The 13,557-nt window shown below is 41.7% G+C and overlaps 1 annotated feature.

Moving 5' to 3' along the window:
• Window positions 13,078-13,167: a silencer, noted in NCBI's record as "silent region_20942". NCBI's record gives its function as "represses an Ori minimal core promoter by ATAC-STARR-seq in GM12878 lymphoblastoid cells {active_cell/tissue: GM12878}" and the evidence as "EXISTENCE:reporter gene assay evidence [ECO:0000049][PMID:35858748]".

Raw genomic sequence — 13,557 nt, forward strand, 5'->3', positions numbered from 1 at the left:
TCCCCCAACCCCTGACTTTGAGATGTTGTACCTTTTTGGGCTGAACCAGTGTATACCTTACATGTGTTGATTTATGTCTTGACTGTAACATCTGTCCCCCTAAAATGTATAAAACTGGTCTGTAACCCAACCACCTTATGCATACTTTCTCAGGACCTCTTGAAATTGTTTCTGGGGCCATCTTCCCTCATACTGGCTCAGAATAAACCTCTTTAAATATTTTACAGAGTTTGGTTTTTCCATTAATAAGACAGAAGCTTAATATGACAAATATCTTCTTTTCGTTGTGTCATTGTATTCTGCATATCTGGAAACTCATCTGGTAGTAACGTCAGAAGCTGAAAGTTAAAGCCCTTAGTGAATAAGATGCCCAGGTCAAATGATCTCCTTCCTTGTCCCCCACCCCCATGCCTTTTGGGGATTACTTATAAATATTTCTTAATAGTGGGCTCTCATGATAAAATATCTCAAAGAAATCTTGATTGGGAGCATTTCAGACCTTAGAAGGGGGTGATGTATTTTGGAGATTTAGTGCCCTTCAAATGGCATCGTGATGTGGCTACTCACTCTTGAGACACATCCTAGCTTTTGCTCCAGTGACCCAGAGCTGAATTGGGGGTGGCAGCATAAGAGGAGGACTGGTCCTTTTAATGATCTTTCTTTTAAATTCTGAAATATTTCAAACATATTATTATAAATGACCACCCAATTTCACAGCTTAAAACAACCACTTTTTCATTATGCTCATACATTCCTCAGGTCAGGAATTTAGAAAGTACATAATGAGGAGAGCTGTCTCTGTTCTAGTCTGGTGTCTCTACTGGGAAACTTGAAGGCTAGGGATGAATTGATGGCCAGGGTCTAAAATCATCTGAAGTATCTTGTTCACTCTTACTTCTGATGCCTAGGCTGGAAGGATTCTCAATGATTAGAAATGCTAACTCAATTGTCTACGTGTTGCCTCTTCACAATACTGGCTTCCTCACTGTCTAGTGGCTTCAGGGTGGCCAAACTTCTTACATAATGGCTCAGGGCTCCAAGCATAAGTGTTCCCAGCAAGCAAGGAGGAAACAGAAATCATCTTTTCTGACCTGACCTCAAAACTGACACACAGTGTCCCTCCCACAACATTCTGTGGGTTACAGGTGAACTTTCCAAGATTCAACAGGAGAGGACAGATACTCTGCCTATCTATAGGAAAAACATCAAGGACATCAGGCATGTTTGAAAAATATGAAACATAAAAATACAGAGAATAATATATAAACCACAAATTATCCATGACCCAGAGTTTATGTATTAACATTCTTGCTAGGTTTGCTTATGTTTTAAAAGCAAATGAAATGTCATTGTTAAAGAAAGGACTCCAGCCTATTGAGTTGCCTGTTCCAAGCATGGTGCTTATCTAGAAATTCTCCTTTGTAATACGTAGCATTATTTGAGCACTTGCTAGGTATCAGGCACTGTACTTTTATGTAGATTCCTGTCAACAACTTTATTACATTGGTACTACAACCACAGAAATGTAAGGGTTCTGTTAAACTCTACAAATATTTATTGAGTACTTACTATATGGGACTTTGTCTTATTCATAGAATTTATAATCTAGTAGGAGTCAGGTCATAAAAATAAAGATTGTGGAAAGTGCTATGAAGGAAATAATAGACTAATGTTTTAGGGAAGTGAGAAGAGCGGAGAATAGAGTCAATATTTGAACCCAGGCAGCCTAATTCTAAAATCTGCATGCTCAATCATTGCACTATATAGATTCATTTCTTTAATTTGGTTGAGGATTTAAGGTCTAATAAAGTTAGGCCTGTGGCATATGGCATCCTTGACTCTTCTAGGCTGCATGTCCTCCCTTTTGCCTTTATTTAGATTACTTTTGCCAGCACTCATTGATTCGTACTTGTTTATTTTGCTTCTTGTCTTGGACTTTTCCTGGTAGAACTCTCTTGGCAATAAGCAATCTTGTCGCACAGAGTGTCTATAAAGCAGACATGTTTAGACTATTTTTAATAAAATAAAGTGCCCCCTACCCCACAATTAACACTGGAGCATATATTTAAACCTGAAAAGTCCCCAAGTCCTGATTCATTTACCCTGTATTATAAAGGCATAAGTCTGTTTTTATCACTCAGTGAAATAATAATCAAATGATTTTCTTGGAAACTCTAAAAGCTTGGAGGGAAAGTTAAGTGGTTTGGGCCCTTAGGGTATATAATTCGATCTTCCAGGACTATTTGGCTAGGTTATGTTGCCCGAGGACTTAGAAATAAAAGGTTGATATTTTCACCCATGTTGACCTCAAGCATGTGACACACACGCTTGTGAGATTCTCCATTATGTGCCAGTCTTGGATTGCACTTTTATTACAATCAGGTTGTGTCTCTCTTGGAATTTAATTTTATGCCATTGATATGGTGGATCTTAATGAAAATGTCAGACTTTATGTCTTTAGAAATAATGACACAGGAAATGAGTTGGTTGCCCCTATGTGGCAAGCAAATAAATTAGAGCAAAATCCAGCCACAAGACTCTGTCTTTTTTTCCTGGTCTCAATTCCGCACCTGCTCTGTGCCTAGTTTCCTGGGGCTTAATGGAAGAAAAAGACTATAAGTCTTGACTTCTCTTTCCAGATTGACCAGGCCTATTTGTTTTTTAAACAGTTTTTTTGTTTTTGTTTTTGTTCTTTGAGACAGAATTCATATAGCATAAAATTTATCCTTTTAAAATATATAATTCAGTGGTTTTGAGTATATTCACAGGGTTGTGCAATCATCATGACTAGGTAATTCAACATTTTCATCACCCTCACCCCAAAATTCCCATACCCATTAGCAGTCAAACTCCATTCCCACCTACCACCCCTCAGCAATCACTAATCTACCTTCTATTTCTGTGGATTTACCTATTGTGGACATAAATGGGCCTATTTCTGCCTCTTTCCTCTCTCCCCCTTCTCCTTCTCTGACTCCCTGCAAAGCCAGGCTCCTGGATTGCTGGGACAGCCCTGTAGGGCTAGCTGAATCTAAAACAGGTTTTCTTTTCTCATTTTCTCTGGCCTGCTCTCCCATCCTGCCTTTTCTCTACCCTCTTTGTCTAAATCTACTCTCAATTATTAATCAATTATTGTCTATTCATTGAACACTAGGTACAAATAACTAATAATATACACATGGTTCCTGACTTAGGATGGTTCAACCTATGATTTTTCAATTTAATGATAGTGCAAAGGTGACAGGCATTCAGGGCACTCCTCATCTTATGATGGGCTTATTAGTATTTAACACAATTGTAAGTCAAGGGGCATCTGTATAAAATTGAGCACTTAATATGAGTCAAGAAGAACTGTTCTGATAACTTTTCTTGCATTAACTCTTAATACAAAACCTGAATGAAGTCAGTAGTATTATTTCCATTTTACAGATGATTAAACTGAGGCATAGAAAGAATAAGAGATTTATGTACAGTAGCAGAGCTGAGATATGCATAGTTATCCATGTCAGGGAGCAGGAATTGGGGGTGGCATGCAGGATGATAAAACAGAAGACATGGTTCCTTACCTCAAGGAGTTGAGAGAAGAAATAAACCAGATGCATATGCAATATTTAAGCAACAATAGAAAACAGTGGTTTTCATGTGTTATGTGCCTCAGAATCATCTGGAGGCTTTTTTTTTTTTTTTTGACAGAGTCTTGCTCTGTCGCCAGGCTGGAGTAGAGTAGCACGATCTCGGCTCACTGCAACCTCCACCTCACAGGTTCACGCCATTCTCCTGCCTCAGCCTCCTGAATAGCTGGGACTACAGGTGTGCGCCACCACGCCCAGCTAATTTTTGTATTTTTAGTAGAGACGGGGTTTCACCATGTTGGCTAGGATGCTCTCGCTCTCTTGACCTCGTGATCCGCCAGCCTCTGCTTCCCAAAGTGCTGGGATTACAGGCGTGAGCCACCGTACCTGGCCCCGGAGGCTTTTTAAAGCACACATTGTCAGGCCCTACCTCCAGGGTTTCTGATTCGGTAGGTACTGCGTAGGGCTGAAAGAACTGCGTATTCAGCTGGCTCTGATGCTGCCAGTCCAGAAATTTCAACATGAGAACCATTGTCTTAGAGTATAACTGTCTTTAGAGAGCATCTGGCAATGCAGCAGCAAGAAGTACAATTATGCACATTTAGATAAAGAATGAGGTTTGGTGTGATTTCTGTGTGGCAGCATGAGTTTGTTACCTAAGGGAGTTGGGGAAGGACAAACAGTCATCACACCAATGGGATTAGGTCTGTTCTTCCTTAAGACTCTCCTGTCCTTCCCGCCTCTTGCTCTTAACATGTCAAGCCCAAGCTGAGAGCAGGGCATCTGAGGCCCTTCACAGTATGGCTCCTATGTACTGTTCCAACCTCACAATCCTGACCTCTTGGTTATCCCCACTTTACAGTCCAGTGATTCCAAGTTCGGTGTGTTTCCAATTTTTCATGCTGGTTCATGCCCACTTCCTACTGTTTCCTCTGCCTAAAATGCCCCCACTCAAGTCCTCCTGGTGCCCGTGCCAGACTACCTGGATTCAAATCTGGCCTCTGTCAATTACTAGCCATGTCACCTTTGGCGAGTTGGTTAGCTGCTCTGTGCCTGAGTGTCCTAATCTGTAAAATGGGGGTAATAATAGTTCCTTCCTCATAGGGTTGTTGTAAAGATTAAATGAGGTAATACTGATATGATTCCCTTCCCTGTGGGCAGGGAAGTGCTGGGTAGAGGAGGAAGGGTCCATGGCTGGGGCTCTATCCCTGGGCCTGTGCCCATGGACCTAGGTGAGGACAGGCATTTCTGTTTTTATGCCTAACATTTGGGCATAAAATGCAACATTTGCATTTCCCAAGACCACCCTGGCCTGCCATGTCCCCATCTTGTGCCTATAAAAACCCGAAGACCCTAGTGGGAAGGGCACACAAGTGGCTGGACATTGAGGGGAACACACAAGCAGAAGAAGACACAAGCGGCTGGACGTCGAGGAGAACACACTGGAGGAAGAGCACACTTGCAGGCCATTGACCAGGGGAAAACCACCTTCCCATTCCATCTTCCTTCTGGCCTCCCCATCCACCTCGCTGAGAGCTACAACCACTCAATAAAAAACCTTGCCTTCATCCTCCAAGGCTACTTGTGATCCAATTTTTCCTGTACACTAAGGCAAGAAACCTGGCATACAGAAAGCCCTCTGTCCTTGCGATAAGGCAGAGGGTCTCATTGAGCTGATAAACACAAGCAGCCTACAGAGGGCAAAACTGGCTCATGCCTGTAACCCCAGAACTTTGGGAGGTCGAGGCGGGCAGATCACTTGAGGCCAGGAGTTCGAGACCAGCCTGGTCAATATGGTGAAACCCTCGTCTCTACAAAAAATACAAAAATTAGCCAGGCGTGGTGGTACGCATCTGTAGTCCCAGCTACTCGGGAGGCTGAGGCAGGAGAATAGTTTGAACCCAGGAGGTGGAGGTTGCAGTGAGCAGAGATAGTGCCACTGCACTCCATCCTGGGCGACGGAGCGAGACTCGGTCTCAAAAACAAAAAACAAAAAACAAAAAACAAACAAAAAAACCCGCATACACACAAAACTGAAAGAGCACACTGCAACAAACACCCAATGGGGCTTCAGCTGTAAATATTCACCCCTACACACTGCCTTGGGGTCAAAGCCCCACAATCTGCCCATCTGCATGCTCCCCCTAGAGGTTTGAGCAGCGGGGCACTGAGAAAGTGAACCACACCCCCAACGCACGCCCTGCAAGAGGGATAAGGGAACTTCTCCTGTTTCAATACTTTTTTTGTTTTTTGTTTTTTTTGTTTTTTGGACAGGGTCTCGCTCTGTCGCCCAGGCTGGAGTGCAGTGGTGAGATCACAGGACTCAAGCCTCATGCAGCCTTGACCTCCTGGGCTCAAACAATTTTCCCACCTTGGCCTCCCAAAGTGCTGGGATAACAGGCATGAGCCTCTGTGCCCAGCCAAAGTAATACTTATAAAATATTCAGTACAGAGTTTAGCACATAGCACATATTCAAAAATGTTGTATTTTCACTATTGTTAACGATTTTACTAAATCCAGCCTAGGCATTACCTCCAGAAAGTCTACTTTGTCATTCTCAACCCCATGCCCACTAGTATTATTAGTGATTCCCTCTCTCTCCTGTACTTTGTATCTCATACATGCTTCTATTCAATTCCTGGCTCTGTCACTTGTTAGCTGTGTGATTGTGAGCAAGTTATTTAGCCTCTCTGAAACTAGGTTTCCTTATCTGTAAAATAAAGATGATAATAGTATAATAATACTCATCTCAGAGTAATTGCTGATATTTAAAAAGGCAACGCATGAAGAAGCTCTTATCATGGTTCCCAGTACTTAGTAATAAAGGTAAATGTTATTTTGAACTACACCATGTGGTTGTGAGAAATAACGGCATCATTTTTTCTCAAGGTAAGGTGATGATGCTCTTATCTCAGCAAATAGTTGGGAGAAGCAGATGGTTTTATATATTGATTCCTGATTGTATCATTATTATCGCATCCCTTGACCTGATTTCTATCTACCTCCACACTTCATAGTGTGTTTTCTCATTACGCCCCACATCTTCTACCTAGTTTTCCAGCACACACCACACTGTTGCAAGCCTTTCTGCTTAGTCTGTTTCATTCCTGAAATATGCTTTCGTACTTTATTCCCTGGCTAATGCCTGTCCACTCTTAAAGATTCTTTTGCCCCAGTGTATGTTTTTATCTACTTTGTCAAAGATATGTAGATATATGGCCTTATTCCCGGGTTCTCTATACTATTCCTTTGATCTGTGTGTCTATTTTTATACCAGCACCATGCGATTTGGGTTACTATAGCCTTGCAGTACAATTTGAAGTCGGCTAATGCAATGGACATCCTTTTCAATAAATGGTGCTGGGAAACTTGCATTGCCATATGCAGAAGAATGAAACTGAACCTCTGTCTCTCACCATACACAAAAACCAGCTCAAGATGGATTAAAGACTTGAATGTAAGACCTGAAACTATAAAAATCCTAGAAGAAAACCTAGGAAAAAAAGTCTTCTGTACATTGGTATGGGCGAGGAATTCATGACTAAGACCTCAAAACCACAAGCAACAAAAATAAAAAATAAGCAAATAAGACTTTAAACTGTGCACAGCAAAGGAAATAATCAACAGAGTGAACAGACAACCTGCCGAATGGGAGAAAATATTTGCAAACCATGCAACCGACAGGAGACTAATGTCTAGAATTTACAAGGAGCTCATACAACTCAACAAAAACAACAGAAAACCAAATGACTCCATTAAAAATGGGAAAGGATATGAGCAGACACTTCTCAAAAGAAGACATACATGTGGCCAAAAAGCATATGAAAAAATGGTCATCATCACTAGTCATCAGAGAAATGCAAATCAAAACCACAATGAGATATCATTTTACACCAGTCAGAATGGCTATTATAAAAGGTCAAAAAAAAAAAAAGATGTTGGCAAGGATGTGGATAAAAGGGAATGCTTACACACTGTTGGTGGGAATGTAAATTAGTTCACCCTCTGTGGAAAACAGTATGGATATTTCTCAAAAAACTAAAAATAGAACTACCATATGACCCAGCAATCCCACTAGTGAATGTATATCCAAAGGAATTGAAATCAGTATATAGCAGAGATATCTGCACTCCTATGCTTATTGCAGAAGTATTCACCAAGCTTTGGAATCAACCTAAATGTCCATAAATGGATGATTGGATAAAGAAAATGTGGTATATATACACAATGGAATAGTGTTCATCTATAAAAAATAATGAAATCATGTCTTTTCCCACAATATGGATGGAACTGGTGGCCATTATCTTAAGTAAAACAACTCAGAAATAGAAAGTCAAATATCACATGTTCTCAGTTCTAAGTGGGAGCCAAATAATGGGTACACATGAACATGGAGTGTGGAATGATAGATATTTGAGACTCAAGAAAGGTGGGATGGTGGGAGGTGGTGGGGTATGAGAAAATAATGAGTAAAACATACATTATTATCATTATTATCTTTATGGTAGATCCATTTAGATGGACATATTAAAGCCCAGACCTCACCACTATTTAATATATCGATGTAACAAAACTGCCCTTGTGTCCCTTAAATTTATACAAATACAAATAAATTTTTGAAAAGATTCAGCTTTTAGTGTCACCAGCTGTAGATCCCTGAATCCCCAAACTGAGATGGGTGCCCCATCCTATGCTTACCCTATCACAGTGTTATGATATTGTTATAGAGCTTTTTGTTTGTGCGCCAGTCTCTCCAACTAGATTGCGCCTTTCTTAAGAGAGTCAGGCCCTTTCAACTTCATCTGTGTATCCCCAGCACCTAGCTCAGTGTTTTCAACACAATATAGACTCAAGGGGTATTTGAACTAAACTGAGGCGACCCAGCTGTACTGGAACAGGTTTAAGCTTATTTTTTAAATGTCAACAAGTTGCCACAGACAAGTTATCTTTCCTGAAATCTCAGCATGGAAAACTTCTGGACATTTTTCTGGTGGCAGGAAAGATGGTTAATTCGATCTAGGACTCATGAAGAAAATGGCATTAAACAAAGCTGACCTACTACTCTATTAAAAGTTTGGGCAACACTGCCATCTAGTGATGGAATTTAGATATGCTTGAGAATGAGATCTGTAGTTCTTCATGGAAGCCTGGAGAAAACCACTGAGCTTTCGTTTACACAGAGAAAGAGGAATGGCTAGTTTCTCTGAATAAGACATGTAGTTATGCGATGTACATTTCACTCGATAGATCGTGTTAATTGAGGGAAATAAAGGTCTAAATATATCATTTGTTAGCCACCAAGTCCTATTAATGTGGCTAGTTGCTGATGGGGTGGGAATTGCACAGGACAGTCCAGATGGAACCTATTTGTTCCCATTGTAACATTCAGCATCAGATTATGTACCTTATTTTTTTCAAAAGGAAAATATGGCTGGCACAGATCTGCTTTCAGGCATTATACAATCTAATTGGACACAAGAAGCAATTAAGGAATAAGACACCATTAAATTTGACTCAGGTCATTGATTGGCTGTGTGTGTGTTAAACATATCCAAATGTATGCATGAGTGTTTTCAGTCATTCAGGTGGTGGGGGTGTCTATACTTTTTGTAGGAATCCTCAAATAGTTTTGGAATACACTGCCCTTGGAATCATCCTGAGCCTGTTCTAACACGAATAAGAAACAGTAGATGTAATCTACCACACTGCAAGCAGCTGAATGTGTACTGCATTTGGAGTCAAACAGGTTGGAGTTCAGATTACTTGTCTATCACTTACTAAGTGCGTGGCCTTGGGCAAATTACTTAACCTCTATGCACCTCTTCATCTGCAAGATAAGAGTGCAAATAATACTCATCTCATTCAGGTTCTGTGAAGTTCTGTGAGGATTGACTGAGACTGGTATGTAAAGCACTGAAAGCAGTGTAGGCAATTTAGTAAGTGCTTGTAATTTTTGACAAATACTTTGCTACAGCCCCTTTACTGTCCTAAAATGAGACAGAGAAACTCATAGAGCAATGTACCTACCACACACATAATTTTATATATTTGTGTGTGTGTGTGTGTATATATATAAGAGAGAGAGAGGTCCAACTAGTGTGAAGGAGAAATAAAAGGAAATTATTGGTAATAAATAATGAATTTCCATCTGCAAAGATTGAGGCCACACCATGCTATAAGATGTAGGGGAACAGGTAGAAGCTTGCACCTACGTACAGAAACAGCATGAACTCAAACACTACAAATGCAGGCGCATGCAGGGGCATTGCATTAGTGACTCAATTACCATGATCAGCGTTGTTGTTGGCAATATGATCTTCAAAAATGTTAGACAACTCTTGGGAGAGTTCTGAACACAACAAAGAGCAGTTTTCCCTCAATTTACATGGTAGCTGTATTCCTGGAAATTTCAGCATATACTGAAATAAAACTGTGCAAAAAATACTTTGTGTTTATGTATAAATCAGAGTTCTGTTCTAGGCACAGCTAATTATTAACAGATTTTTTTAACCTACATGAATAACTGGGTGGGAGGTGGCATTCAAAATTTGGACAGAATATGGGGCATTCTTCACTGTGTGGAACTGTCTAGCACATTGAGGACGTCTAGCATCCTCTTTTCCATTAAGTGCTTCCCACCTCCTTTGTATACCAGTCTCTATCTTATACATATTCACATGCATACAGAACCATAGAATTAGACAGGTACAGACATAAACTCTCAAGGGGAAATAGAGTCAGGGCCTTGATATTCATCCAGGGCTAGCCTGGAAGAACCCAAGGATGGAGACTGGACAGTGGGTGGGATATGGAGAAGGTTCTTAAAACCTGTAGATTCAGTTATGTTTACAGTCTGGATGAGGTATGCAAGGAAAGGGGTGGTGAGAGAGCTGGGGTGGGGAAGTTGGTGGGAAGGATGGTATTCAGGTACTGAAGACTGAAGAAATGTTGGGAGTCATTGACGAGTAGGCAGCCAGCGTCAGGACCCAAGGTAAAATGAAGGCCCTGGAAAGGCAGAAACTTTGGAACCATGAAGACAGACCCCCAACCAGGATTGAACTAACGGAGCAAAGAAATGGGGTCTGAATACAGCCTGAATGTCTTCCATTCAGCTGGTTAAAAGTGCAGATGTAGAGTCACACAGACCTGGGCTCAAATCTCAGCTCTGCTACTTACTGTGTGATCTTGGGGAAGTCACTGCAAACCTCAGAGCCTCACATTGTTCTCGTCTGTAAATTGAAAATACTGATAGTGCTTGTTTCCTCCCTCAAATGGTGATTGTGAGAATTACACACGAGACCATATGTAAAGTGCTGGACACATAGTATATGTGCAATGTAGGCTAGCTGTTATCATTACTACCTTCCCCACCAAACTCCTCTGCCTTCCATGCCCACACCTCAGTGAGTGGCATCACCATCTACCTGTTCAGCCATCCAAGCCAGAAGCTTAGAGATGATTGTTGACCTTGTCTTCCTCATGTCTCACAATCCTGCCGATGTTTCCTCTGAAATTTCTTTTGTATCTACTGCTTCTCCTCCAACCCCACTGCCAGTGCTTTCACCTCAGCCCCTCAACACCTCTTCCCTGGGTTTATATCCTCTCTGTGGAGCTTGGCTGCACCTGGCGCGGTCGAAGAGGGGAGGACTAGTTCTACTGGGACTCTGCTTGGGCAAAGTCTTAATGGCTGAGTGGCAATGGGCAGGACACTTATCTAGAATGGGTGGGAACAAATGAAACCCAAGGTAAGACTATGGCCCAGAATTTAAAAGGGTATTATCAGAGGCATCACATGGCAAAGCAGGCTATAGGCTATAGCATAGTGATTAAGCCCATGGAATGTGGAGTCAGGCTTCCTAGGTCTGAATTCTGACTCTACTGCTTATCACTTGTTTCACCTTGGGAAAGTTACTTTACCTCTCCGTGTCTCAGCTTCCTCACCTCAAAATGGAAATAAAAATAGCACCCATGTCAGGAAGTTGTTGTAAGGATTGAATAATTTATTACATATAAAGGGTCTAGAATGGTGCCAGGCACATAGAAGCATGAAAAGTATTTGTTAAAGTATTTTTAAAAATTTAAGATAAGGTTAAACACAGAGCTGCAAGGAAGTAAATTGCACCTAGGCCATAAACAAGTTGTGGGCCTGGGCTGGCCATTCCTGATGGGTAATGGTGGCCTACCCGGGGCAGGGCAGCCGCCTGGCTGGATTGGGCTAGAACCCACCCTGGCCATCCCCCTTCCACCTCCAGCCCTCCTAAAGGCAGCCTTTTTAAAAACAGGTTTGCATCACAGAAGGCTAGAACCCTCTCCAGTGCATTCTCCATCCCAAATGAATCGTTTGGTTTTGTTGCTTCCAGACCCTTGGCAGCAGTGAGACTGCAAGTGTAGAAAACTAAAGTAGTGCCCAACAGAAGGCAGGAATTGCTACAGATCCTTAAGGGTTCAGAGGGATCCCTTCTCCAGGTAAGAAGTGATTTTTTTTTTGTCTGACTTTATGCAGATGCCCTGGGCACGTAGAAAGAACTGCCAATGAACTTTCTGTTTTAAATATGCTTATTTACCCGTGTTAATACTGTTGTAGTAGACCCAGTGGTGGCTGAACCAAGGACTTGATGGAGGAGAGAATCAGTAAAAATGAAACCCTGATACTGGGTTTTTGCTCATCAGCTGCTTCAAAGGCTGAGAATTCAGACCTATTACAAGACCTATTACAAGCTGCAGGCCGTTTACAGATGCAGGAACTGTCAGGGACAGGTCAGATGCAGGGACTGTCAGATGCAGGACAGGAAATTAGGGCCTAAGGAAAGGTTTAACTTCAAAGACCTTATCCAGAATTTTGCAATCAGGAATTCTAGAAATAAATTACTGGAATTTCAGCAAAATCATTTAGTTTAGTTTTACTTTTCTTTTGAATTTTCTGGTTACCCTTCTGAATCTGATCGGGGTGTTGAAGGCCTGGAAATCAAATTTTACCCCACCCTGGGTTCCTTGGGGGTTCATCCAAGTGATTGATTGGGAATTACCAGAGTTATGAAGGGTTCCATATGGTCACAGAATGGGCACTGGCAGAGCTGGAATTCTTGATATTTCTTCTTACAAAGAGTACTGGGTCCCTGCTAGGGAAGTGAAGGTCTGATGAAGCCTGGTATAAATTTATGCAGGAATGGTTGTGGCGGCAACTGCTAACAAAATCCTCAGATGTGCAAGCTGCAGATGCCCAGAGGATGGTAGGAGTTTGGCTTTGTCACTCCAGATGAGGCCAGGGATCAAAGAGCAAGAAGAAGCTGAGAGTTAGGGTTCCTGGGTGACATTACATCTGGCCAGAACATGTGCATAATGCTGTATGTGAACTCTCTTGTATACTGCAATGGTTATTAGTTTTCCAAATCAGAGGATGGGATATACTCATGGGAGGGCTGGTTTGAGCCATGTGAACTGGCTGGGGCGGGGCCCACAGAACTGTCTGAAGCCCCTTCGTCTACCAGGAGGGTGGAGGTAGTTACCAGATGTTCTAGGTTTCGCTAGTGCCCAACACACTGTGACTCAGCAGAGGGTGGGGCCTCGGGCTCTGTTGGAGTCCAGAGCAGGATCTGGCTTGGTTACCCTTTTACTAGCAGGTAGTGCTGGGCTTCTTGCTAGACAGGCAGACTAAACACCCACTTAGAGCCCCAGGAAATTAGGGCCTAAGGAAAGGTTTAACTTCAAAGACCTTATCCAGAATTTTGCAATCAGGAATTCTAGAAATAAATTACTGGAATTTCAGCAAAATCATTTAGTTTAGTTTTACTTTTCTTTTGAATTACATGTGAGTGGGAATGCCATAGTCTTTTCAGTGCTTCAAGGCCTCTGAAGGTCCTAATTGGGCCTTGACAATAAATCCTGAAAATTCTGAATAGTGACTATATTACTGTTACGATACAGTTCTGATATTGTTTGGCAGAGTCCCCTCCTGACCACCAACTCATACAACTGCGCCATCTT

This window comes from Homo sapiens, chromosome X, assembly GCF_000001405.40.
Source record: "Homo sapiens chromosome X, GRCh38.p14 Primary Assembly".
Lineage (NCBI taxonomy): Eukaryota > Metazoa > Chordata > Mammalia > Primates > Hominidae > Homo > Homo sapiens.